The following is a 27,994-nucleotide window of genomic DNA, read 5'->3' as shown; positions in this document are numbered from 1 at the left end:
GGTTTCACCATGTTGGCCAGGCCAGTCTTGAACTCCTGGCCTCAAGTGATCTGCCTTCCTGGGCCTCCCAAAGTGTTGGGATTATAGGCGTGAGCCACCCTGCCTGGCCATCTTTAATTCAACTATTAATTTGTTTATAGGAGGGCTTTTTAGTGGTGCTGTCACATTGTTTCCTACAGGGAGCGTTACTCTAAAATATTTTACATTTACACAATAAAACCAGCCTTGACTGCTCCATGCCTAGACTGAGGACTGAGCCTTCTGGCTCAAGGTTTAGCTGGAAATTACTGAGGGCCAAAATATCATGGCAATATCATTAAGATAACGTTTTAGAAGCCATCCAAAGGTATATTAAAATACCTTTCCAAGGAACTAATTATCTTGTAGGCCTATTAAGAGATTAGAGACTTTCTTCTTCAGGGCAGTAAGGAACACAGATTCTTAGAACCTGTCATCTATTCTATGACTTCTGCAAAAGGAATAAGTGCTAGTCATGTTTTATTTGAATGGATGTACTAATTTATAGATCTGCATATGCTTTTGAATTGTATATCACGTATATATCTAATTTTCACATTTTTGATGCATGGAATCTCTTTTAACTATTAATGTCAACTTGAAGACAACTGGACAGTCAATCACCTAAAATTTAAAAGGCCCAAAACAGGAACTCCAATAGCCAAAATTAGTTTAGGTTCTTTTCATAGTATCACTCTCAGATATTTGTTAAATTATTTTCTGATAAACATTGTTCTCTGATGTAACTTTGAAAGATTCCCCAAATTATACATGCATTCATCCACTGGATATTTCTCCAAAGTATTGTGTTTTTTTGCTAATAAGTGGTTCAATCATGATTTTCAAGATGGTTTTCTTACATGAGGAATAATAATATTTTAGGTACATCTGTTTTACTGTTGATTTTTCCTACATTCTGTTATATTTATGAAGAAAACAGTTCAGTAAAATGTCATTTTCCTTTAGTAACTCATTAGACTTGGACTGTCTGTGGACCAAAGCAAAATATCAGTGCTGAAACCAGTCTCAGTGCCTTCCCCAACCCCAAAAGAATAATAAATCCACTTCTGAATCACAGAGAACAATGAGTTATTTATGATAGCACAAAGTAGTTTTTAATAAAATCTGCTTTTTACTTATATTTAAATAAATTGCCCAGTTACTGAATCAGAAGCATTTCTTACAAAGCAAACAAAATAAGCATCCCTTCTATGTTAATAACATGTTAATAGTATGTTGGCAAGTTGATTTAGAACAACTTGCCAACAATACAAACAGAAAAAGGAGTGGGTCAAAGAAATCTAGTTTGGCTTTATTTTCAATAGATCATACTGTCTGTTGAAAAAGGAATAAATAATTATGGAGCCTATCTAATAATATACTCAATAGTTTGAAATTATTGAGTGCTTCCTATATAATAGGCTCCAGGCTAAGTATTTCATTTGCATTCTATAATTATGTTTATATTAACATGAGGAAACAGAGTTAAGTAACTAAGTTCTTAGCATGCAGATAACTTATATCTATTTATGACAAACTTTGTCCCTACACATGTGGCTGATTAATTTCATATCTCTGGGTCCATAAGAATCGTATGACCATAATGGACTTAAATTCCCATAACCTTTTAACTGCTCGGCTGTATCTGTCAAGTCAGACAGTGCCCTGTGACTGTAATAATGAGTATGAATGATCAGTGCTCGTCTTCCTTTCTTGACATTATACCATTAGGCAAGTCAAAGCATTTCTCTAGAACTGCCTGAGGGCAGTTTTTGAAAACGTTTATTTGTGAATGTGCCACTGAACTGTATCTAGAGGAACCAGGATGTGCAGAGTCGGCAATCCAGAGTTTTGTGGTTTTGAGCATTGCTGCTTCTGGTTGTCTCCGAACACATGCCCTTCTTTAACTTCACCAGAATATTGGGTGGTTTCATGAGAATGTTTTCTGTGGGAATTCAGTCTTGAGACTTTGTTCATTGTCCTCAAATGATCTAGTAGAGTTGATCTTCTGGGGTGATTCCGTGCAGAGGAGGAAGTGGTTACACATACTGTGAGAGTCTGAGAGACAGCAGTAGCTGGAGACTTTTTCCTGAGTTTGTCGCTGTATAGTTTAGGTTCTCATTTTACAGTTGTGAGTTTTCATGTTAAGAGATTGCCTTTTTACCTGCCTTTGCATTTCTCTCCAGTGGATTCTGTTTTAGTAAATAATTGGACATTGGCTTTCCAATTCTTTTTTTATTTCTCTGCCACAGGAAAAAAAGAAAAAAAAAAGATAGCAAGATTGTTTATTCCAAACACCGGGTGGAAATTGTTAGGAGCCACATACGTTATTTTGGCCTAAATTAATCATGTCCCTGCTTTGTATTTTACTAAGCACTTATCAGGTAGACAGAAAAGTGTTTTGTACTTGGGGAACACAAAGATAAAGGAGGACGGGCTGAGCACCATAGCTCGTGCCTGTAATCCCAGCTACTTTGGGAGGCCGAGGTGGGTGGATCACTTGAGGTCAGGAGTTCACCTGGCCAACATATGAAACCCTATTTCCGCTAAAAATACAAAAATTAGCCAGACATGGTGGCGCATTCCTGTAATCCTAACTACACTGGAGGCTGAGGCAGGAGAATCACTTGAACCCGGGAGGCAGAGGTTGCAGTGAGTCGAGATTGGGTCTCTTCACTCCAGCCTGGGTGACACAGTGAGACTCCATCTCAAAAAAAAAAAGATAAAGGAGCAAGGGCTTTTGCCCTGAAGAAACTTATGTTTCAAAAGGAATTTAAGTTGTACCTCACTAGCCAAATCAGAAGGTGTACCCATAAAAGTGCTAGAATGTACTCTAAGGGGCACAGAGAGATAAACGTACCCATGTAGAGAGAGCCAAATGATAATACTTTGTATTAGTATAACCTTAATCTTCATTATATTACCACTGAGGTTGAATTGAATTTCTTTGTTAAGAAGAAGCCAGGCTGATGCAGTAAGTAGCTCACTCCTATAATCCTAGTAGTTTGGGAGGCTGAGGCAGGAGGATCACTTGAGGCCAGGAGTTCAAGACCAGCCCAGACAACATAGCAAGACCCTGTCTCTACAAAAATGTTTAAAAATTAGCTGGGTGTGGTGGTACATACCTGTAGTCCCACCTACTCAGGAGACTGAGGCAAGAGGATCACCTGAGCCCAGGAGTTTGAAGCTATAGTGAGCTATGATTGTACCACTGCACTCTAGACTGGGCAACAGAGAGGACTGCCACAGATTCCTTCTAACTGTATACATTATAAACTTGAATAAATATATTAAAGTAATTTTCAAACATTCCTCTAATCATGATCAGTTGTCTTTAACAACATTTCTCAAACTTGTTATGTTATTCCAAACGCTGGGTGGACTCATGAAAATTTGTAAGAGTCACATCTGTTATTTTTCCACTCTAAAAGGAAAAAGAAATATTGCGGACCTATAATGTTGACGTTAGTCACTTTTATTTTAAACTTAAATGTGTACAAATATAAAATATGTATAAACCTCTTATGCTTACAGCTTTTATAAACTACAAAACCAAAAGACATACAAATTAAGTTAAAAACTAGAAAAAATCAATAACATTTGAATTAATGCTATTAATATGAGGATACTTTGTTTTTCAGAAGCCAAATCACCAATGTTGAGACCATTATTGGTGGAAAGACACATTTGCACCTTTCTGTGCTTGTGTTTGACTTGATTCTTTTGATTTTTTGCATCTCTGGCCTAGCATGTGCCTCCTTGGAATTATCAGTCATCATTTTTCCTTCTTAACAAAAAGCTTATTTTTATCTACTGATTCATTGGTTTGATAAGCCAATTCATTTAATAGTGTAACCTGAAATACAATACTGAAGGATAAAACATATCATTGAATGTGCCTTGGGATGAGTGGATTCTACCACCACTTTTCTATTTGCAAACTATTGCAGAGCTTTTGTTCTTAGAATAAGCCAGGATATCTTTTATGCATTATTTAGCATGAATGCATAATTTTCTTTTTAAATCCATCTCTTTTATTTTCTCTTTAGCCTGTGGTAATTTACATATACATTACTTAACCCCACTTGATCATTTTCATGATGCAAGTTAATACTGTAAGAGAAAAGGTTTTTTTAATTGCTAAGCGAAGTGTGCGTAAGTGGCAGATGGGGACTGGTGTTATTATCATATTGAACATCAAGGCCCTGACAGCCTAAGGGCAGCCAGGTGTGTTCGCCGTCCCTTTAAAAGCTCACCTCTGATCACTTTGCACCAAGTGCCCTATAAATACAAACATGGGACCCGAAGTCATATGGCAAGATTCAGTCATAAATGTCATCCATCTCATCTAAAATATTATTATATTGTTTCATGTGCTTTGATCATCGAAGTGAAGACACAAAATTTAAAAATTCTTGCAGAGCTTGAGCTTATGTATGCAAATTTCTAGTAGACCAAGGATGCCAGTTTGAGAATCACTGGTCTATAGCATATTGGGCAAATACCTGGTAACCAAGAAGTGGTTCCTTTGTTTTTCTCAGAAAAGATTGGTGACATTTCCAGGACGTCTGCTGACTTCTGTCTGTTCCTCAGCCTTGATCTGCTCTCTTTACAGGCAGTAAACTAATGCCTTCTTTGTTTCTACGTGAAAGGACTTTATAAAGAACTGTTTAGACCGGGAGAAGGTATAAAGCCTAACCACGCTTCAATTAAGTGAACAGAAGAATTTAAATATTTTCACATCAAATGAGAATTACCTTTTAACTTTCTCTCTTCCACTGCACTGTAAGCTCCTTGAAAAGGGACTTTCTCTTACTCCCCATTGGATTCCCAGCGTGTGGTACCATGACTGGCACACAATAGGCACGCAGAAAATGTTCACTGAAAGAATGACTCAATATCAACATAAGAAAGTACTTACTGGTGTGATGTACATCAGACGACATGTTCCAGTGTCTGGTTCCTGAAAGCATATGACCCATAGCTTGTCATTGTGATGAATTAGCTGGCCTGGTAGAAAATTGGTCTCAGCCTGCCTCTCATATGTTCTTACCTGAAAAATCAGACCAGTTGCCTTCACAGACTGCTAGTTTTTATCTGGAAAGTGATGAAAAGTTTCCCATTTGGCATACCTCCTCTGGTGCCTTTGTCCTTTCTTTTTCTCATCCTATCATCCTTGTGACTCAAGAAGCGATGATGTTTTTCTTATTCACAGGAAACTTCCAAGCCGCAGACCAGGGCCTGATATCTACCATCACTCAACTCCTTCTGTGTAGCTCCAGTTAAGGAAGGAGGGGAGAGTGCTCAGCCTGTTTGTTTTTTGTCTTGTTCTGTTTGCCTGGATTCACTGTGTTGATAGACAAAAGAGATAAGCTGCATATTTGTGGGAGATAGCTTTTGATTCTTCAAGATCAAAGCATGGTGTTACTGACCCTTATAAGAGTAGTTCTTTGGTTAAGTTATTATTCATTTTTCTTCAAGATAACTTTCCTCTGATTTAGCTTTTATCAGCCAACATTTACATCTCTTATCAGAAAAACCATTCACCAGATAATGGGCCTGGGTTTCCATCACGTGTTTCAGATGTATGATTCCAAAACTTGAGGGAAAATGTTCTGCCTGGTTCAAGCCTTCACTGAAATAACCTTAAGCAGAGAGAGGCTGGCCTTCTGAGCAACTCCTTTACGTACATGCCTACCACTAATTTCTAATAGTCTTTAAAAAAAAAATAGTAGTTAGCTGCTGGCAATAAAGTACAGAAAGGAAAGTTTGGCAAATACTAAAGATTAGCTGCTTCATCTATCATATAAAATGGATCTAGCCAGAAGAAACCAAGGACTGAACTCTGTTTGTCATACCTCATAAGCTGTGTGGCTAAGGGCAAATCCATTGACTTTTCTATGCATTAGGGAATTTTTCATGTGAACATGAAACCTTGCCTTCCACCTCAGTGCCTTCAAGTCAGCAAGCAATCTTAAGAAAAATATTTCAAATTTGGGAATATAAAAATCAGTGCAACTTGGCCAGGCATGGTGGCTTACGCCTATAATCCCAGCATTTGAGAGGCCAAGGCAGGCAGCTCACATGAGGCCAGGAGTTTGAGACCAGCATGGCGAACATGGCAAAACCCCATCTCCACCAAAAGTACAAAAATTAGCTGGGCGTGGTGACACATGCCTATAATCCCAGCTACTCAAATGTCTGAGGCAGGAGAATCATTTGAACCCAGGAGGCAGAGGTTGCAGTGAGCCAAGATCATGCCACAGCACTCTGGCCTGGACGACAGAGTAAGGCCCTGTCTCAAAACAAACAAACAAAAAAATCAGTGGAACTTTGTGAAAATATCAAGTAGAAAAACAAGTTGCTTGTAGATAAGAACTAAATCTAAATAAATACTTGTATCAGTGATTGGTATTTTACTTTATGGTATAGGAATCAGAATATATTGTCCATAGCACTCAGAATAAAATTGCATATTTGCATTATCCTGTATATTCCAATGAAATAGAATGATTTTAGTACCATAATTTGTGTTTTTATATTTTTCTTCATCTTATAAAAGTTAATATGGTGTGCTTTGAAATAGCATGATGTAAATAAGGGAAGAAAGCAACTAGGAAAAAAATTATTAAAATTGTATTCATATAACAAATTGAAAATAGTGACATGATGATGACTCATCAAACAAAAAAGAAAAAAGCTGGTATCACATTTACCTATAACAAAATAATGGTAGAAATAACTCACCTTGTGTTTGATATGTATATGTATATATACATTTGCACAGGTATGCACACAATCTATTTCACCAACTGTTGTAGCAAAGTATTTCAGTTTTTTCTTTATTTAAAAAAGGCATATGCTTTTACACTGAATATATACATATGCTTTTACACTGAATATATAATGCATAGATACTATCTGCTTCCAATTAGGAATGAGCTCATCACATGCAACTTAAAGGTATGGCCTCAGGAAAATAGATGACTCTCCCAACACAATCCCTTTTTGGAACAGCAGGGCATCAGCGTAAGACTATATCGCTAAAATTCAGGCCCACAGTCAGCTTTAACTCAAAGCAGACACTGATTTTATTGGTTGAATAGTATACTATTTATAGTACTTGGGCAGCAAAATGATGAAGCCAGTGAAAGAATCTTTCTCCCCACAACATTAGAACTGGGAGGTGTTGATGCTTACAAGATCCCCCCCCTTGAAGGCAAAGACCATGTCTCTCTTGGATGTGTATTCCTAGGGTATTACACAGTAGCTGCCACATAATAGGTACCAAAAAACATCATGACTATTATAAAAAATGCTCTTTACTACTGAGTTATAGCCTAAAGGTCTACCATATACATTTTGTGCTGTTTCTTTTCTTGATTAGGGAGAAGATCCAATTTATCCGAACTGAAGGGACTCCAGGATTGGTGCGCCTTTCAAGCGATGCAGACCTTGTTATGTTGCTGAGGTACATACGTAACACTCACTCTTGAAGCAGAAGGTCTCTTGTCATCAGATATCATGGAACATTGTAGAAAATAATATGCCAATATTCATAGCCTAAAAATTGTTCTTATTCTTTAGACTTGTGGAAATATTTTGAAGATTTAGGGTGCTGATTGAGTGATCATTCACTTCACGTTGCCATTTGTTACACTGAGATCTGTTTAATTTTGTTTTCACCCTGCTGGCAAGGGAGATGGTATTGGAAAAGGGAAAGGTTGTAATGAATAGAATCTCCCACTCACAGAATGGAACAGAAGGGTATCTGAACAAGGCATCCACCGTTTACCCCTCAGTGTTTACCCTTTCAGTTTAATATTCTTTCAAATGTTTTTCTCAAAATATGTTTTGTCCCCTTTTGCTGACTCAAGGCATTATTTATTTACCTTGTGGTTTTGAGGGTGTACGTTTGGGAAATCAGATCAGAAAGTTGACATTTGGTCTATGCTACTCATTGCCAACTTGATAGCCCTTCATAAAACTGACCAATTATTTTCACCCCCGCCCCTCACCCTCCAATGGTTAAATCAGCTTTGGTTTTAAATTTTAGAGTAGTTTAGAAAGGAAACTGGCAAGTTTTCAAAAGACTTTCTCATTTTTTTATTATCCCTCAAATGTAGGCAAGCCATAGTAAAATAATGCTTTGCTCTACCCAGTGGTTGGGACGCTCATCCCTGTAACCTCCAGAGAATTAAAAGGAACAGCATACTGAGCCTTTCAGGCAAGGTTTTGTTTATCCCTGAGTGCTAATAACCTCATTCAAGTATTCATGATGATCTTGACCCTGACCATTTCTAATTCTCCATTCCATAGTTGCCATATTTGTTGCCATATTTCTGACCTCCCATGTGATTGTTGTCAGAAAATTATTTTTCTTTGTGTGTAGTCAAAGCATAACTCAAAGGGATATATTCACTTTCTATAGATACTTCACTTCAGTTGACTCTGAATAGGACCTATGGTGGGGGTAGCTTCTCAACCTAATGGGTGGCCTCTCTCCTGTGGTATTGAGCCAGTTGTGAAACCAGCATATAGTATGCTAGGTGGTCAGGAAGACTACTGGTCAATTAACGTTAGAGTGTGATGTTTCTATCATGGTTTGGTTGGTGATAAAATAGTTGAAGTTTCTGTTAACAGAATTCTGGCCAGGATATGCTCTTTTTCTTCACTATAGAAAGCTAAGGTTTTTTTCTTTTAAACTAAGAATTCTGCTTTGGGAATTAGTAAAAACAGAAGTCATAATTATCATTCACCTATCCATAGTTAAATAATATTTAGATGGTATAGTCTTAAATTTATTTTACTATAGCTTATAATATTTGTACTTTGATAACACAACAGTTTGCATGAGTTTCTATGTGTTAAGTAGTAGAATTCAAATGTATTTGAATTCAAATAATTCAGAACTCATTCATACATAAAGAGCAAGGCTGCATTTTCTCCTCTTTGGGAAAATAAGCAGGTTCTGTAAAGCTAATGGGCCTTTGGAGAAGTGTGAGAAATTTTCTTACATATAATAGTTCTATAATTATTGTATACAAATGATGTCATTAAATTCTAGGCTTTTCATGTGGGTGATCACATGTGTTTATTATTTTAATAATAGTAAACAACACAATGTATTATATGTACATGCTTAATAAGTAATATAATTAGTGATTATTGAAAAATTTGGGGTTTTATTCATGTCCTCAATTATTTATTTATTTATTTTTGAGGTGCAGTCTCGCTCTGTTGCCCAGGCTGGAGTGCAGTGGTGAGATCTCATCTCATTGCAACCTCCACCCTCTGAGTTCAAGTAATTCTCCTGCCTCAGCCTCCTGAGTAGCTGGGAGTACAGGTGCAAGCCACCACGCCCGGCTAATTTTTTGTATTTTAATAGAGACGGGGTTTCACCGTGTTGCCCAGGCTGGACAAGAACTCCTGAGCTCAGGCAATCCGCCCTCCTCGGCCTCCCAAAGTGCTAGGATTACAGGTGTGAGCCACAGCGCTCAGCCCTTTATTTTTTATTTCACTTTGGAATTGGAATGATTTGAATTGGTGACTACAAACTTCAGTCAGCATACTTGTCACTTACATAATGGAAGCCTTTGTGTCTATTTTAATGTTTTGTCTGATTTCTTAAAAAGGAAAAATCACTCCTGGTACAAATTGACTTATCAGTAAGCTGCAATGTAGAGATAGTGTTGCTCTAGGACATTATTCAATTCAGAATAAACGCATGTAAAGTTATTTTCCAATAGGGCTATTTTAAAACCCAATAATTTTTAAATGACCTTGTTTAATTTGTTATTGATTTTTGTGTTTCATGTATCTTTTCACTAACTCAATTCATGTAAAAAATATACCTCTATCAGAGCTCATACAAGAAATGATTGATAAATTTGGCTACATAAATATTTTTAAATGGATATAATGAAAGATACCACATATAAAGGCATAAAGAAAGATAATCAACTGGAAGAATAGATTTACAACATGTAAAACAAAGAGATCAGCCAGGCGCAGTGGCTCACGCCTGTAATCCCAGCACTTTGGGATGCCGAGGCAGGCGGATCATGATGAGGTCAGGAGATCGAGACCAACCTGGCCAACATGGTGAAACCCCATCTCTACTAAAAAAAAAAAAAAAAAAAAAAATAGAAAAATTAGCTGAACGTGGTGACTCGCACCTGTAGTCCCAGCTACTCAAGAGGCTGAGGCAGGAGAATCACTTGAACCCAGGAAGCAGAGGTTGCAGTGAGCCAACATTGTGCCACTGCGCTCCAGCCATGCAACAGAGCTAGACTCTGTCTCAGAAAAAAAAAAAAAAAAAGGAAACCAGATTGTGGATACATAAAGAAGGCCTTTAAAAGAAGAGAACCCAATAGAAAAATGGATAAAGGTTATGAAAAGGCATAGAAATGGAAGTATGAATAGCCAATAAACCCATGGAAAGATGCTAGTAATGTAAGTGTAGTTTCAAATAATGAGATACCATTTCACAGTATTAGATTTGTAAGAGTCCAAAAGTCTGAATACCTAATGATACATAAGAACTCTCATATTGTCTGGGCTTAGTGGCATTGCAGTTTCTACAGTCTTATTGGAGTACAAACTGACACTGTCTTGTACAGCTGAAAAGAGCTCAGGTCTCTGGTTACTCTCTTTTAGGAGAATATCAGAAACAGACATTTCAGTATGGAGAAGAAAGAAGACATTAAATGGTCTAAGATCCAAATCCTCACATGTGAAAAATAGTAGCCAGGGTAAACAAGGGAGCTAATTATTTTGTGATTGTAGTTATTTAAGAGGTGTTTTGTTTTATTTTGCTTTTAATTATCAAATTAAATCCTAAGCCCTTCGAAGGCTGAGACCCTATTGTTTATTTCTTGGAATGAGGATATAGAACATACTTTGTATATTTATGATGGGTTCTCAATAAACATTTTCTATTTTGTGTTGGAATCCTGTTTCCAAATCTGAAAACCCAGGTATGATTTTCAAACAAACATGTACACTCAAACTCATATGTTGAAATAGTAAAATAAAGTCACGTTGTCCAAAGTTGGTAGGAAAACAGGGAAATAGCCACAGGGTTCACAAAAAGCACCACAGCCAGCCATTTTGTACCAAGAATTACCTGCAAGAGAAAGGGGGCGGATGCTCTCTTTGGGATATAAACCGGATCTTGGATGGAATATTCTACTCCTTTGGGATTTAGGCTTTTCCCCACTACTTTGGCTGAAGTGCCCGTTTTGTTTCTTGTCTTTCCCCAGCTTATTTGAAGAAGAGATAATGTCGTATGTGCCTCCACATGCCTTACTCCACCCCAGCTACTGTCAGTCCCCACGTGGCTCTCCCGTGTCATCTCCTCAGAACTCGCCAGGTGAGTCCACCTGCTGCTCACAGTGAATTCTCTGAGGAGTGAACCTTCAAGCCAGATGTTCTATCCTCCCTAAAGACAGAACAGTAAGGGAACACTTCAGGTACATCTTTGGTGTTAGCACAGATACACGTGTGCATTTCCTGTCTCGTAAGAGTGGCTTATTTCCATGAGGATTCATTTTGACAAACATAATGAATAGGAGGATTAGTGGTATGACATACTCAGATATAGAATTTACTTTTCATGATGTTATATCATACAATATCAGGACACAAAATATTAGGTTGCTTTTTGACTTTAGAAAGTTCTAGTGAAGAGAACTTTTTTGATATACAATGAAGATAAAGTCTCTACTCTCAAGAAATAATATGGAATTGAAATTGTTCAGTTTAATGGACTTGGACATTCCTGCAATTCATTAATTGCATTAGATAGAACAGAAATGGATTGGCAGATAGAAGATGTTGATAGGTAACCTGAAATGTGTACATTCAATCTCTTTTTGAAAGAGATAGGCCTGAATGAAAGAGTGAGTGGGTGGATGAATGGGTGGATGAGCAAATGGTAGGAAATGCAGCTTGGCAAATGAGCTTTGAAAATGAAGGCAGTCATGATGTTGACAGAATAGCAGATGTATATAGGTCCTTATTATAGGCAGTGCATTGTTCACACTTTAACAGCTGTCAGAACTGAAAATGATTTCAGTAGAAGTGCAAACTCCATATGTGTCACTAAGCTGCTGTATGTTCTTTGGTATATAACATGTGTTTTCACATACTGCAATGATAATGAAGATGCAGCCTAATTGGATACTGCAAACAGGAAAAGATGTATTAATATGTTCATTTAACACAGATTTATGGAGCATCCAACTATGATCCAAGCACTGAATTAGACTCTAGGACTACAGAGATGAATAATACAGTTTCTTCCTTTGAAGAATTCATGGTGTGGCAGTGAGTCAACAAATAACTCTGTGAAGCTCTGTAGTTAGTTCTGTAATGAAGAAATGTATGAGAACACAGCTGTGGGAACAATTATTCTTTCAGGGCTGGGGATGGGGTATTTGGGGAAATATGAAGTGGAACCTTGAAGAATGATGAATAGGAGTTTACCAGGTGGACCAAAGAAAGAAGGACATTCTAGTGAAGGGAGTGATGTGTTAGGCCATTCTTGTGTAACTATAAAGAAAACCTGAGGCTGGGTAATTTATAAAGAAAGGTTTCACTGGCTTATGGTTTTGCAGACTGTACAATCATGGTACCAGCATTTGCTTGGCTTCTGTTGAGGGCCTCAGGAAACTTCTACTCATGTCAGAAGGTGATGGAGAGCCAGCATGTCACATGGTGAGAGTGGGAGCCAGAGAGAGCAGGGGGGAGGTACCACACACCTTTAAACAATCAGATCTCCTGTGAGGTCACTCATCACCAAGGGAGTGGTGCGAAACCATTCATGAGGGATCTGCACTTATGATCCAAACACCCCCCACAAGGCCCTACCTCTGACACTGGGGATTATATTTAAACATGAGATTTAGAGGGAACAAACATCCAAAAAAACCATATCAGGTAGCATAAGCTAAGCCACAGAAGCATGAAAGTAGTGTAGGAAATAGATACAAGTAAGTTAATAGATACAAGGGAAGGGAAGTTCTCAAAGCTCAGGTTGGAAAGGTAGGCTAGGGCTGGTTGGTCATTGAAGCCTTATTATTATTATTATTATTATTATTATTATTATTATTTTGAATCGGAGTCACACTTCTTCGCCCAGGCTGGAGTGCAGTGGCGTGATCTCCCAGGTTCAAGTAATTCTCCTGCCTCAGCCTCCCCAGTAGCTAGGATAACAGATACATGCCACCATGCCCAGCAAATTTTTGTATTTTTAGTAGAGACTGGGTTTCATCATGTTGGCCAGGCTGGTCTCAAACTCCTAACTTCAAATGATCTGCCTGCCTCGGCCTCCCAAAGTGCTGGTATTACAGGTGTGAGTTGCCACGCCCAGCCAGCCCTATTCTATTGTCCATGTGAAGCCACTGAAAATGTATAAGCAGAGGAATACCAATAATATCCTGCTTTTCAAAGATCAGTCTGGTGGCAATTGGGAGGATAAATTAGAAAATGAGAGACTAGAGACAGTTTCTCAGAGAGGCCATTGCATTAGCCAGAGTAACATGATGAAAGACTGGACTAGGCAGTGGAGATGGGGACCAGGGAACAAATTGAAGGGATATGTAGGATGCAGAGACATCAGGACTTTGAGTAGAGGTAGGGAAGAGTCAAGGAAGATTCAAAGGCCCTCACTACCTAGGCTACCAGGCAGATGGTAGCACCCTCTGCCAAGAATGGGAAATGGTTAGACTCAAATTGGAAGATTGAGTGAGTTTGGTGTTGGACAAGTTTTATTGAGAAATCTTTGGGCCATCAATGGGAGATTCCCAAAGACAGCTGGAAATGGCAGCCATGGCGCACAGGAGAGGTTGAAAGCAAGGAGTTCAGTGTACTGGTGGCAACTGGAACCTAGAGTATAGACTAAAGCAACTGGGGAGAAAGTCATTGAAAAGGAGAGGAAATAGAGGATGATGTCATGAGAAACCTCAATATTTAAGGGATGAGCTGAGACAGAGAAGCAAGTGAAAGAAAGAGAGCCAACAGATTTTGAATAGAGTTAGGAAAGTCTTTTCAGGGGAGCCGGGTTTCACAGAGGAGTGGTCAATAGAGCCACATGCTCAAAGGGCTCAGGAAGTCCCAGCTACTCACGGGGGCTGAGGTGGGAGGGTTACTTGGGCTCAGAAGGTCAAGCCTGCAGGGAGCCATGATCATGCCACTGCACTCCAGCCTGGGCAACAGAGTGAGACCCTGTCTCAAAAGGGGGATAGGGCATCAAGAAGGATGAGATCTGAAAAGAGGCCTCATTTAGATTTGAAAATCATGACATTATCAATGGTCTTTGCCAAAGCAGGTTCTGTGAAGTAATAGGTTATAAACCGGATCATGATTGGTGACAGAATGATACAGGATCTGAAGCAGAAGTCAAATGCTCTTTTCACGAAATCTGGAGGTAAAAAGAAAGCAAAATAGAACAGTAGTTAGGAGAAGAGAGAGGGAAGGAATTTTAGGATGGGAAGTTGAGCATACATGTGCAGAGGACACAGGACGTGAGTGGAAGGAAAGTGGTTTGTGGAATAAGGCAGGCTCATGGGCAGCACGACACTGAAGGAAGAAACACAGGCCAACTTTGGAACAAAATAGGGACACCTATTTTGATGACACAGGCTGAAAGAAGTGTATGACACTACAGGTAAGTTTAAAGGTTTAGGGGAAAACTTCATGAAATTCCCAACTGGGAATTTCATTCTTTTAGCAACTGTCTGACTTTAGGCAGGGTACCTCCTTCCCTGAGCCTGAATCTCTTTTTCTATAAAATAGAGATAACAATAATTACCTCACCTCTCACGATTATTTTTGGAGAACACTTTGCTTGGTGCTTGGAACATAACAAGTAGCCAATAAAGGTTAATGTGTCGCTTTTTCTTTCTTTCTTTCTGGAAATTTGATTCTGAGAAGTAGTTTGTTCACATTTGAACCATTAACAACTGGAACATACGAACCCTGATTTGCAGAGCTGTCTGCTTAGATATTTAATCATGCAGAGTGGACTTTATCTTAGTAAGAGCCTATGCTGGGGTTTAAAGTGGACCATCCCTTTACCTGTGTTTTATGGTTAAAGACATGAAGCCATGTGGATTGTTGCTCGTGCCAGTCAAGGCTGTCCTTTTCCAGGCCTTTTGTGTGGCCTCTCCTCCCTGAGGAAAAGGTAAATTGCCAAATGCTGCCCCTTCCGTGCTCTTTAAAGGCATGCACTTGAAGACTGCACACATTCTTCAAGACTGTATGAGCACTCTAAATGTGGCTGAGTTCACTTCCTCATTTAGCATCGCAAATGCACATGAGTAATCATTGGTGACAATAAAATCCATTCTAGAAACTTACATTTAGAGTTAAACATTTTCCAAAGACCTGTGTAACCCAAATATATCTAAATTGCTAGCAGTGTTTGTGGTGGTTTTAATTTTCAGGAAGAATCATCTCCATATTTCTGGCCTACTCTGTTTCAGTGGGCTTTGTTTGATCTTGAAACTGGGTTGTACAGCCTGATATCAATGGAAGTCACTATAACAAATTCCACATGATACCAGGGCAGGACTACCTAACCTCATTTCCCCTCTGGAGGAATCTTCTGTTCCTTTGAATAAAATAGCTTCTCCTTCTACCAGGATTCCTGAAGGTTTTGTGAAAGCAACATTTCAAACAGATTTTTTTAAGTGGTCTGATCCTCCTTGTGACTATAATTTCACCCCTTTTAGTGGTGTGAGAATAATATCTTGAAAATTATGACAGTAATAAATTTTAATGATCTTCATTGAGAATTCCTAGGAACCTGGTAAACTTTCCCCCTTTTCCTCATTCCAAGCACGTTGACATGTATTTTCAAGTGCAGAAGAGAGAGGGGCTTTGGAAACTTTGACTCACTGCTTTTTGCAGCTGTTAGAGTGCTCACCAAAATTTGTCAAAATTTTGGAATGTGAAGGTTTGTTTTTCTAGGACCATTATAATGCCAATCCCAACCTCAGTGATGCCAGAAGGAAAAGATCTTTCCAAACACCATGTGGCTTATTATGCCAAATATGGGACCCAGAAGTTTATTTAAGCTGCACATTTCTAGGAAATTAAATGCAATAACACCTAATTTATCTGATATTATTGGAGATGTGCTCTCTTATGTGGATTTTCCAGGTAACCAAAGCTATGATTTTAACTGTATGAGAATTTGTTTGACCCCCTATTTGCTGAAACTCTTTCATAAATATATTATATTTCTCTTTACTTTCCTATACACTGCACATTGAGGATATTTCATGGTTTGGGGGGATCATTGTGCCTATGAATCATGATGCAGAGCTCTTGTTACTTGACTAGAGCTGGACTCCCTGGAAACTAGCACCAGCAGAAAGTCACCTTCAACAGAAGTAAAACACTCAGAGAGCACAGAAGAGCCCTGTGGGTCTTTACTAAAGATTGTCTTGAGGGGATGGGTTGTGAGAGGGAATTATTTCTCCCACCACATTGTGTGCCCTTAATGATCTTCGTTTTCTTTCTCCCACCACAAAGTCTTAGCATTTTACCAGCTGTTTATGTCATCTTCTCTTTTCACAAACAGTTCCTCTTCTCTGCTCATTCTCTCTCTCCTTTTCTTCCTTCCTCCCTCTCTATTCCTCTCTGTCTCTCTCTGTGTGTGTGTGTGTGTGTGTGTGTGTGTGTGTGTCTGTCTGTCTCTCTCTCTCTCATCTGTCCCTCTCCCTTTCCCCACCTTTCCTACAGTCCCTGAAGTAGCTTTAGAGTTGTTTTTAGAAAAGGTGTTTGATCCCTTCCCTTGACTCAGCCCTACAAAGATGATCTAGGAACCAAATTGCACAAATGAAGGATGCTCCCTGGGTGGGTAGGGATGGGGAAGTTGTGATCCCAGAGACCAAAAGAAAGCCACAGACACTGTCTCTCTCATAGTATAGAGACTTAACTTTTTGTGTTGTTAGTCTCCCTTGTCCTCACCCATAGAGCTATCAGAGGGTGCCTGCTATTGGCAGACCCTTTACATTTCCCTTTAATAAATCACTTCCCTGCCAAGATCTCTGTCAAGGTTTGAGAAGTCAGAGCATTAAGTTATTTTCAATAAATGGTATGTACATGAACATCAGCAAGCTCCAAGAAATGACTCGAGGGCCTTTTACTACTCAGAGAATAAAGCAAAAATGCCAGGTTTTCAGTGCTTGTGCTTTGTGCCAGGGATTTGGACGTGTTTTTTGTTAAGTTCCAGCGTTGAGCTATGTTCCAGAAGATGGAGCCTTCCAGAAATTATTGTAGTGCTTGATGTTTTGTTTTCATTCACTCACAGGGCATTTGTTTTAAATGTCATAGGGATTTTTTGAAAGTGAACCAGGAAAGAGATGAGCGTCTGAGCTGTCCCAGGACAGAGGCATGGAGCCATGCTGGATCAGGCTAAGATCCAGCCCCTGTCCAATACGGAGAACCAGTGCTAGTCATCAGAACAGTCCAGGTTCTGGGTCACACACCCAGAATCAAAAAAGACTGAGACTGCCCGGGAGTTGGATGCCAAGCTATTTCTAGTGTCTTCTGAAATATTTTGTCAGATAGAATTCTTTAGTTTGTATATGATTATGCAATTTTGTAACAGTATATGAAAATAGGGTAACACAATATAGAAGTTCTTTAGACCTGCCTAGCAATGACAAAGCAAAAACTCCCTAGTGTCTGTTACTGAAATTTTTTCCTGCACAGTATTAGCAAAATGCTGACTATCCATGAAGTCAGCCCTTCATTTGATGTAACATTGATCTTTTGTACCTGATTTTCTTTAAGACTGTAAAGACCATAAAATTCCTCTGTCTACAAAGTATTATGACCTAGAACTTCACTTGTAGTTCTCACACAATTTTATTAGCGCAATCTTCCAAGAACATTTTGTATTTCCAAAGTGGAAGTAACATCATTCCTGCTCTGGAATTTCTTGGCAATTATACCTCACTTGTATTAAGAATTTGACAAAGGCCAACAGCATAATTTACTGTAATTTTATTTATTTATTTATTTATTTTGAGACAGAGCCTCACTCTGTTGCCAGGCTGGAGTGCAGTGGTGCGATGTCGGCTCGCTGCAACCTCCGCCTCCTGGGTTCAAGTGATTCTCCTGCCTCAGCCCCCCAAGTAGCTGGGACTACAAGCACACCCAGCTAATTTTTGTGTTTTTAGTAGAGACGGGGTTTCACCATGTTGGCCAGGATGGTCTCGATCTCCTGACCTCATGATCCACCGACCTCAGCCTCCCAAAGTGATGGGATTACAGGCGTGAGCCACCGTACCCAGCCAATTTACTATAATTTTAAAATGAAATAATGTGTAAATGACTTCTTTCATGATGGAACTATGAGCAAAAGAATTTTTGCATTTAACAATTGCTGTCTCAGAGTTTTTATAATTAAATCCCTTTACCTAGAGTATAAACAGAATCAGAGCTAATTTTTATTGTGTCTGTATTGATATTGATGGAATGCATTATGGCATTTCCCACGTCCTTTTAAGCATCTCAAATTATATAGGAGTAGTTAGTGTCTGTGCTGTTTTTTAAAGTAATCAGCTCTTAAAAAAACATGTTTCTTGGCAGGGCACAGTGGCTCATGCCTGTAATCCCACCACTTTGGGAGGCTGAGGGGGGTGGATCACAAGGTCAGGAGATCGAGATCATCCTGGCTAACATGGTGAAACCCCGTCTCTACTAAAAAAATACAAAAAAATAATTAGCCGGGCGTGGTGGCAGACGCCTGTAGTCCAAGCTACTCAGGAGGCTGAGGCAGGAGAATGGCATGAACCCGGGAGGTGGAGCTTGCAGTGCCCGAGATCGTGCCACTGCACTCCAGCCTGGGCGACAGAGTGAGACTCCGTCTAAAGAAAAAAAAAAAGTTTCTTTTGTGTCTTAAAAGATTTTCGTTCAGTTCCTTGTTCTTCATTTTTCTCTCTCTTATCAATGATTTTGCTCTTGAAAGTTGATTCATTACAGCTGCGTTCTGCCCTGTCTGGGTTTTCTAGTCTGCAGTTTCTCAGACTGGAGCACTGACACTGATTGTGCCACCCTTGAGTGGACTTGAACTGCACGGTCCTATCCCTCATTCATCTAGGAGAGCAGCCTTGTGTTCATGGAGATAATGTTCCTTCGTGTTGCAAATTATGCCTTTCGGTACACAGGAAACATTTGCCCTGTGTTAGTCCCTGGATGCTGCCCATGTGTTTCACTGGTGATGTTTGACCTTCTTATAAGGGAATAGTGGTTCTCAGCCATAGCTACACATTACACATTGGAATCATCTGGACAGTTGTATTTAACACTCATGCCTGGGTCCCACCCCACATTCTGGGTCTTTACACATTTTGTTGTAATGCATCTTGGGTGTGGCCTGAACATTGGAATTTTTAAAAGCTTCCTAAGTGATTCTAATGTGCAGTCAAGATTGAGAACCCCTGCCTAGGAGTCTCTTCTGCTTCCCAGATCTTTAAAGTCAAGTTTATTCACTTGCTTTATGACATAACTCAGCTCTTTGCCCAGCTATACAAACAGATCTCCAGACAGATTATTGGTCAATAGCCAGTTTTGTACAAATTCATTAGTAAAATCTCAATTCATTTCCCTGTCTTTAGTATTCACCTCTATGCAGATAACAACAGCTAACACTTACGTGGGATCTCTTATGCAACAGTCACTGCATAAAGTGCCATAAACACACTAACTCAGCTCATCCACACGTGTGGCCCTGAGCTCTCACCCCAATTCCAGCCCTGTATTTTTCAGTCTCTAGGGCATTTTGTTAGCTGTCATATCCAAGTCAATATGTATAAAGTTTCACATGCCCTTGTCCACCTGCATCACTTCCCACACTCTTCATAGCATCAGGTAGATAGACTTGGCTCAAATCCCAAATCTACTGTCACTGGAATATGACTTGGACAGGAAACTGCACCTTCATTTTCTTTAGTTGCAAAGTGGTGTGTGATGGTCCTAGTAATACCCGCTTCGTAGACTTGTGAGGATTTCTCAAGATCCCCTGTGTAACGTGCATCATCTGTAATGTACAGCAGGCGCTTAACAAGTAAGACCTGTTGTTATTGTTTAAATACACTTTATATTATCATCATGCTTCCCATTCTTCTTTCTTGCTTATCTATTCTTTTCCCAGTGCATATTTCACATTGTAGATGTTTCTCTGAGTCACTCACTCCAGTCTAGTCCTTATCCCCTCAGGCTTCAATTACTGCAACAACTCCTAACTGGGGCTCTTTCCTCTTGCCCACCCTTAATTTACTCAACACACTCTGAAAATAATTTCTTAAATAAAACACCATTTGTATGTTATTCTTCTGCTCAAGAACCTATAAAGGCACTGTTCACTGCATCATGCCCAAACTCCTCTGCTAGGTTTTAAAAATTCTTGTCATAATTTGGCTCCAACCCTTCTGATCAATTTCATTTCCCATTTACTCCCAGCACTCCTCCTCCACTCTAGGCTAGCTTGGTTCTCTTGGTGTCTTCTGAACACACATGCAGTGCTCATGCCAGCTGTTGCTGCTGTGTTCCACTTTAGGATATAAATTCTCCTTCTTTTGCAAGGTGTGGTTCCAATTAAGCTTCCTCCCTAAGGCCTTTTCCACTTTGATCTCTACTTATACTCATTTCTTTTTTATAACATTACTATTACTTTTGTGTAACACTGATCTTAACAAATGCTTGCGGGGCTTGGGGGGCAGGCAGCCATGTCATTGAGTGGCTGCCGCAAAGTGGTGAGCTCATGCCTCGTCTAACAGAGTAGCTGCAGCTGCCCGCTGGATCCCCAAGGAAATGCAAGCCAGTCATTGCAAGATTTCCCAAATAATTTTCAAGAGAAAAATCTGGAATTTTTAAATTTGAAATTTAATTTGTAAATGTTGGCAATTAATTTAAAATATTCAAAAAAGATTATGGGGCAAGCAACTGGGATCTATAGGACTAGGTATAGCCCCAGGGGTATAGCTTTGTTTCCTCTGCTTTCTAGTCTGTATACCTAGTTCAGGACTTAATTATTCTCTAATTGTTTGATGTTTTATTTCTGTTTCCCCAACCCACTCCAGCAACCCCACCTTACTCATTTTGGACATCCATTGGTGAACCTAACATAGTATTCCCAATGAATAACAACTATTTAGTTCACTCATTTGTTAGAGACATTTTTAATGAACTTACATGGTATGTAATGAACAAGACTTCCCAGCTTTTGTTTTCTGGTTTCTTTCATTGGTTGGGAAATATTTAGTGGAAATATCCAGTGTTTTTGTCATGGCTCTGTGTCTGATTTCCATATTCATCATCAGTTTTCTATCCCAACCTGCTGCTTGTGTTACCCAGTGACACAAAACCAGATTTTTCTATGGAAAGAGGAACAATTGGCTGGGCATGGTGGCTCACGCCTGTAATCCCAGCACTTTGGAAGGCCGAGGTGGGCGGATCACCTGAGGTCAGGAGTTCGAGACCAGCCTGACCAACATGGAGAAACCACGTCCCTGCTAAAAATACAAAATTAGCTGGGCGTGGAGGTGCAAGACTGTAGTCCCAGCTACTCGGGAGGCTGAGGCAGGAGAATCGCTTGAACTCAGGAGACAGAGGTTGGGTTAGCCGAGATCACACCATTGCACTCCAGCCTGGGCAACAAGAGCAAAACTCCGTGTCAAAAAAAAGGAAAGAGAAACAATGTTACTTTTACATATTATTAGTGATAATTACCATTGAATAACGTATAAAATATGCTTATATAATCTAGATATTCTCAGTACTTGGCACATGTTAAGAATGCAATAAATGGTCTGGCGCAGTGGCTCACACCAGTAATCCCAGCACTTTGGGAGGCCAAGGCAGGTGGATTACCTGAGGTCGGGAGTTCAAGACCAGCCTGACCAACATGGAGAAACCATGACCCTACTAAAAATACAAAATTAGTCGGGCGTGGTGGCACATGCCTGCAATCCCAGCTACTCAGTAGGCTGAGGCAGGACAATCACTTGAACCCGGGAGATGGAGGTTGCGGTGAGCTGAGATTGTGCCATTGCACTCCAGCCTGGGCAACAAGAGCGAAACTCCGTCTCAAAAAAAAAAAAAGAATCCAATAAATATTAATATTATTTATTCTTTGTGCAAGTGCGCACTTTGTGCAAGTGAGACAGGTGCCTTTTGCAATTATGTGTTATATTAAGATTTTACCCTGCAATATGAGATTTATGTAATTATGTGTCTAAAATCATTCTTGGTGATAGTGCATATCTAAAAGAAGTTTTGTAGGCCAGGTGCGGTGGCTCACACCTGTAATCCCAGCAATTTGGGAGGCTGAGGTGGGTGGATCACCTGAGGTCAGGAGTTCCAGACCAGCCTGGCCAACATGGCAAAACCCTGTCTCTACTAAAAATACAAAAATTAGCTGGGCATGGTGGCAGGCACCTGTAATCTCAGCTATTTGGGAGGCTGAAACAGGAGAATCACTTGAACCCAGGAGGCGGAGGGTGCAGTGAGCCAAGATTGCACCACTGCACTCCAGCCTGCTGGGTGACAGAGTAAGACTCCGTCTCAAAAAAAAAAAAAAAAAAAAAAAAAGTTTCATGAGGAGTTTTTTGGTGAGGAATTTAGAGTGAATGATTAAAACCTCACTCTTGGTGCCACTTACTTATATACCATGTACTTTCCATTGCAACTTCCTGTCTAATTGCCATGATATCATTTCAGCAGCAAGCAAAGACATTTCATCCTAACAGTTACTACTAGACATGAGTAACTCTGTTTGACTCATATTAGTTTCGACTGAAAAGGGGAACATACTTGAGAAACACATGGGCACCATTGTAACTATTCAAACAGAATTTTTATTCTCAACCAAAATGCCACAAAGAGGACGTCACTTAAGACCTTGGTTGAGGTTTGTTATATCCTTCAACTTGCAGAAATCAAAAATGCAGAAGTTAAGACAGTTGCCTCATTTGACTTGTTGATTGTGATAGCTTTTGTCCATGGTGATGTGATGAACATAAGGACGAGGCACAAATCCAGATTGTCCTCTCTTTGTGGTTTGCTGCAGGTACCCAGCGTGCCAATGCCCGGGCTCCAGCCCCTTACAAGCGGGATTTCGAAGCCAAACTGAGGAACTTTTACAGGAAGTTAGAGACTAAAGGATATGGACAAGGCCCAGGGAAGTTAAAGTAAGTCAAAGTGACACAAACCACATAATGTATAGATGGTGAAAGGAGAGGGCACAGTTGGGCCTCTAGGAAATTGATTGTGATTTGGGATGACTAGCCTTCATTTTAGTCGGCATAATTATTTTGGAATTTGTAAATTATAGGATCATCTAAAACATAGTCCTGGAATGAAACATGATTAAGCTTAACATTTTAAAACAAATAGTGAAGACACTGCCACTTTTCATGCAAAAATAAAGGCAAAATAAAAGGCTGATTTATTTTTTTCCTCTGAAAAGTATGTCTTTGTTGGTGCATAGTATATTCATTAGCTATAAAGCTATCCCAATGTCCTCCACTGCAAGTTTCTGTCTCCTGAACTGACCTGAGTGTAGGAATAGTGCTCAGCTCTGTTCAGTTCTGTGAAACAAACTTCACAGCAGAACATGTCATGAATGTTGTTTCGGCCTTTCTTCATCCATCTCCTCCTTTCAAATGGGGAAACTGAAACATCATCATGTTGTTTGGCCTAGAATTGTTTCCATTCCCTACTTACCCTTCTTTCTCTCCTCCCTGCCTTCACCCCTGTCCCACGTCCCCACTGGAGATCAGTCTGCCACTGAGAGAGGACAGAGGAGGGACGGTCTCCACTGGAGCACCCCTGTGACCCTGGGTGCCTGAGAGACGGTCCAGAGACCAGACCAACAGCAGCCCCATGGCTCACTGCCCCACCTGCAGGAAGGCTTGCTTGATTAAAATCCACCTTCATTGCCCTAAAAAATCATCTGCCTGCCCAAACACCATACTTCTCTGAGCTTTACTTTTCTCACACTTAACTTACAAAGGTCTAGGATGATCCAGCTGTCATGCATTCAGCCTCCCTATCATCTCTCTGCCCATTACCATTTACATTAAGAGCAAATTGATATCTATGGAAGGATGACTTTAATTGGCATCATCACAAGTAGATTAACCTGCCACACTCATCATTCATTTGTATCTGTCCCTTAGGGACTGTCAAGATTCACTTAATTTAACAATTAACAATTGGAAACTCCTCTGCTTTGGAGGATATTGAGAATTTTTTTTTTCCTCTTTGTTCTCACAGTCATCTTGCTGGGCACTTAATAATTGAATTCCTTGTCTACATGCATTGAGACTTAAAACATTGCCTCATAGAGTTGTTCTTGCTTTACTAAACAAAATGTATGGGCGGGGGGCGGTGTGTGTGGTGTGTGTGGTGTTGTTTTATGATCATTTTTTTTCTGGGATAAACTGATTTGACCATTTAGATAGGATTCTCCGGTTGTTTACACTGGTCATAGGTAGGGTACTCTACCAATGATTCTCTCATGTAACTTTTGCTAATGCTATTAAGAGTTCAAGACAAATGTGTACTTTATTGCAGACAGCAATGATATTAAGTAACATTCTTCTTACCTAGTTAATTGTGGCAAATGGAAATGTTCTAGAAAGATAAGTAAATTATCTTTAATAGTATAGTAATAATTTGTATTTTCTAAATTGTCTCTTTATGGACAGGTTAATTATCCGAAGAGATCACTTACTAGAAGATGCTTTTAATCAGATTATGGGCTACTCCAGAAAAGACCTGCAGAGAAATAAGCTATATGTCACCTTCGTTGGGGAGGAAGGGTGAGTAGAACAGAGAAGTGGCCTGTGGAACATAGGCTGTGGCCACAAGGCGGATGTTTCTCCACGTCGCTGTGGTTGCCTGAAACAGGAAATCCTTCTGCCAGGAAGTGCTGTTCTCATACACTTAAACCTTTGGGCTTTTTTTTTTTTAAAGGTCTCCTCTGGCTTTTAAATCACTTGACATAGAAATCCTTTAGTAAAAACTTGTAGCTTTAGATCATTTTTGAGAACAGAAGCCTAGTTCAGTTTCTTCTCTCCGGACCTCTCTTTCTCTTAAAGGGAAAAAGTAAGGCTTTACAAGGAAAAAAAACAAGGAATTGCATTTATGCAATTCCTTTGTGATCTGTGATCTTATTTTCTACCCTGCAGGGCTAGGTAGAACGTGCTTCCTCTATTAAATAAGTTCAGTTTCAGAAACATGAATTAGAATCTTGCTGTTCTACCCAGAAGCCTCCACAGAAGTAACTCTTGGGCCTTGGCTCTTATTTCTCTGCCTCCAGTTTTTCTCTTCCCTTGGGAAGGCAGCACACCTACCAACATTACTACCTAACATAAACAAACATGTCCCGCCTTCCATGACTCTTCCATGAGTGTGCTCGTCAAGATAAGGGTTAGGAAATGAAGCGGGGAAGACTCCTACACAGTGTCTGTTGTGCCCAAATAGACATAACTGTTATTACACATCACATTAGAAGAGGCCAGCTGTCATCCCTCCCAGACCCCTTCTTCCTCATTTCAGGTCTGGGTTCAAGTCTCAACATCTTCTTCATAACTCAGCAGCTGCTAGAGGGAATTTTTCTAATACCATACAATTGTCTGATTGTGTTCTCTGTGGCTCTTGTTGATTTGGATCATTTTAAGGCTATCCCTCTCAGTCATGCCTGGGAATAAAGTATATTAGATTATGGAATCATATTAGTGATATTGAACAAATTCAGCCATTCAGTACACAGTGGATGAAATAATGACTCCAAACTATAAAATAATTTGCATCTGCTGATGGAACTAGGGAATAGAAAAATCAGGATTCAAATTCAGGCCGTTTGTCTTTCATCTGGTACTCTTGGACTAGCTCTGGGACCTAAGCAAAACTCCTGCACTCCAGCCCATCTGAATTTTTTCCTATCTCTGGACATTTTGCCCATTCCAGCTAATGACTGATAACTTCCGCTCTTGTCACATGCAGTGCTGTGTAGTCTCCCAGCTATTCCTACATTAAGGTAAAGTAGTATGTGCAAACACACTATGACATGACAAAATTTGTACAGAAGTTTGCATGAGATCTGAGCCTTTCATTGCTGATGTGCATAAGTGGACTTCTCACTTGTGTTAGTTGGCTTAAAGATGAAGGTGCACAGTTGAAAATGAAGGCAAATGTTAGCCTAATCACCAGTATGCATGAGATTCCAAGTATTTCCTTACATAATCAGTCTGGTTTGGATGAGAATACTTTTCCTCCCCCAGAACTCCAGCTGCCTCCCTTCATTGTTGGACCAGAGTTTGTTGAGATCTCAAAGATATAGGGAAGAGTCTTTGGAAGCACTGATATTTAAGTTTGAATAGAACAGACGTTTATCATGACTGGTTTTCCTAAAGCAGTCTCCTCATGGTGTGGATTAATGACATTAGTTCCTAGGAGGAGGTCCAGGGTGAGTGGGGCTTGATGCCTCTGTATTTGATTACATTACATTGATGTCCAAATGCTTCCTGCCTCCATCATCTGTCTCCTTCCTGTGACATCGGAGGGAAAACAAGGGAGAGGATGTTCTAAGCTGTGAGCTCAGTTAGCAGGGACAATTTCTTAATCTGTTCACTCTGCATATGGTTTATTGAAGCTGGATTTCTGGACTCATGACTTTGTCAGGTCAGTATCATAAATTATTAGATATAGACTTTAATTTGCTATTGAGGTACCGAGGATACATATGCTGTTTTTGAGAGATGAAAACAGTAATTGTGCTGGAAAAATAGAAAGCTAAAAAAAATAAAGAAAGAAAGAAAGAAAGAAAGAAACCTTGAGCTACATAAAAGTAAGGAGCTCTTTTAGCCTTTGCCACCTTCTCAAACACACTGACTCTATCACATGAAAATGAACAACCCTAACTTTTTTTCTGGATTATAATACATACCCAAAGGGAAGAGCGACCCAAATTTTCCATTGAACTATAAAAATGGAGCTGGAGGTTTTCTGTTTTTTTGTTTTGTTTTGTTTTGTTTTTTGAGACAGAGTCTAACTCTGCTGCCCAGGCTGGAGTGCAGTGGCATGATCTTGGCTCACTGCAGCCTCCGCCTCCTGGGTTCAAGTGATTCTCCTGCCTCAGCCTCCTGAGTAGCTGGAACTACAGGCACATGCCACCACGCCCAGCTAATTTGTTTTGTATGGAGGTTTTCTGTTACTTTCTCTTTACCAATTCTAATCCCCTCAAAATGTATCATTTTGTAAGTTCTTCATGTCTGGGTCTAGTAATGAGCATTTAAAAACACATGTATCTGGCACCCAGATCTAAGAATCAAGGTTTTTAGAGAAATGGCTGATTCTAACACTAAGCAGGAAATATACAAGATGCAGCCCGAAGCATCTTTTGGTGTCTGCCAGAGATTAAAGAAATCCTCAAAAATCCCAGTCGTGGGGTATGTTGAAAAAACCCAGGAGCCAACTGAAAGAGTTCCCAATGGACAAAGCTGAGATAATTTGAGCAACAAAATAAATACAAGGCTATTGATTATAAACCAAAGTATAAAATAAATAACCATACTGATATAAATACATGGTTGAATACATAAATAAATGGGGAAGAATAGAAAAGTAGAAAAATATCTTTTGCAAAATATGGAACCAGCCCAAAAGTCCATCAATCAATGAGTGGATAGAGCCAACATGGTATATATATACACCATGGAATACTACTCAACCATAAAAAGGAACGAAATAATGACATTCACAGCAACCTGGATGGAATTGGAGACCATTATTCTAAGTGAAGTAACTCAAGAATGGAAAACCAAATATCTTACATTCTCACTCATATGTAGGAGCTAAGCTATGAGGACACAAAAGCATAAGAATGATACATTGAACTTTTGGGACTTGGGGGAAAGAGTTGGGGGTGGCAAGGGATAAAAGACTACAC

At 39.6% G+C, this 27,994-nt stretch overlaps 1 protein-coding gene and 1 long non-coding RNA gene across 14 annotated transcripts in view, besides 3 other annotated features; one reads left to right on the top strand and one right to left on the bottom strand.

Annotated features, from left to right (window-relative positions):
* HECW2 (HECT, C2 and WW domain containing E3 ubiquitin protein ligase 2) overlaps nt 1–27,994 on the top strand; it is a 399,483-nt gene that overhangs the window by 328,243 nt on the left and 43,246 nt on the right. For all 12 annotated transcript variants that reach the window (NM_001348768.2, XM_006712646.4, XM_047445197.1 and 9 more), the window contains 4 exons: nt 7,406–7,489; nt 11,283–11,392; nt 23,108–23,228; nt 24,750–24,863. In NM_001348768.2, the coding sequence (NP_001335697.1) occupies nt 7,406–7,489; nt 11,283–11,392; nt 23,108–23,228; nt 24,750–24,863 (429 nt within the window). The remainder of the gene's footprint in view (nt 1–7,405; nt 7,490–11,282; nt 11,393–23,107; nt 23,229–24,749; nt 24,864–27,994) is intronic.
* Nucleotides 1,108–5,288, bottom strand: HECW2-AS1 (HECW2 antisense RNA 1). Of its 2 annotated transcripts, none has more exons than NR_110226.1 (3): nt 5,072–5,288; nt 4,940–4,981; nt 1,108–2,261 (listed from the first exon to the last, which is right to left on the bottom strand). It is a non-coding gene; the product is annotated as an HECW2 antisense RNA 1 (long non-coding RNA). The 2 variants fall into 2 exon arrangements; NR_110225.1 differs by having other exon boundaries at nt 4,940–5,071; nt 5,151–5,288.
* Nucleotides 1,978–2,097: an enhancer, noted in NCBI's record as "active region_16901". NCBI's record gives its function as "activates an Ori minimal core promoter by ATAC-STARR-seq in GM12878 lymphoblastoid cells {active_cell/tissue: GM12878}" and the evidence as "EXISTENCE:reporter gene assay evidence [ECO:0000049][PMID:35858748]".
* Nucleotides 4,620–5,819: an enhancer, noted in NCBI's record as "CDK7 strongly-dependent group 2 enhancer chr2:197124217-197125416 (GRCh37/hg19 assembly coordinates)". NCBI's record gives its function as "activates an origin of replication core promoter dependent on BRD2, BRD4, P300/CBP, MED14 and CDK7 cofactors, with strong dependence on CDK7, by STARR-seq in HCT116 cells {active_cell/tissue: HCT116}" and the evidence as "EXISTENCE:reporter gene assay evidence [ECO:0000049][PMID:35650434]".
* Nucleotides 24,054–24,103: an enhancer, noted in NCBI's record as "active region_16900". NCBI's record gives its function as "activates an Ori minimal core promoter by ATAC-STARR-seq in GM12878 lymphoblastoid cells {active_cell/tissue: GM12878}" and the evidence as "EXISTENCE:reporter gene assay evidence [ECO:0000049][PMID:35858748]".

Source organism: Homo sapiens, chromosome 2 (genome assembly GCF_000001405.40).
Source record: "Homo sapiens chromosome 2, GRCh38.p14 Primary Assembly".
In the NCBI taxonomy this organism is placed as follows: Eukaryota; Metazoa; Chordata; class Mammalia; order Primates; family Hominidae; genus Homo; species Homo sapiens.
The sequence above is the reverse complement of the archived record's forward strand: the minus strand, read 5'-3'. Positions and strand labels throughout refer to the sequence as shown.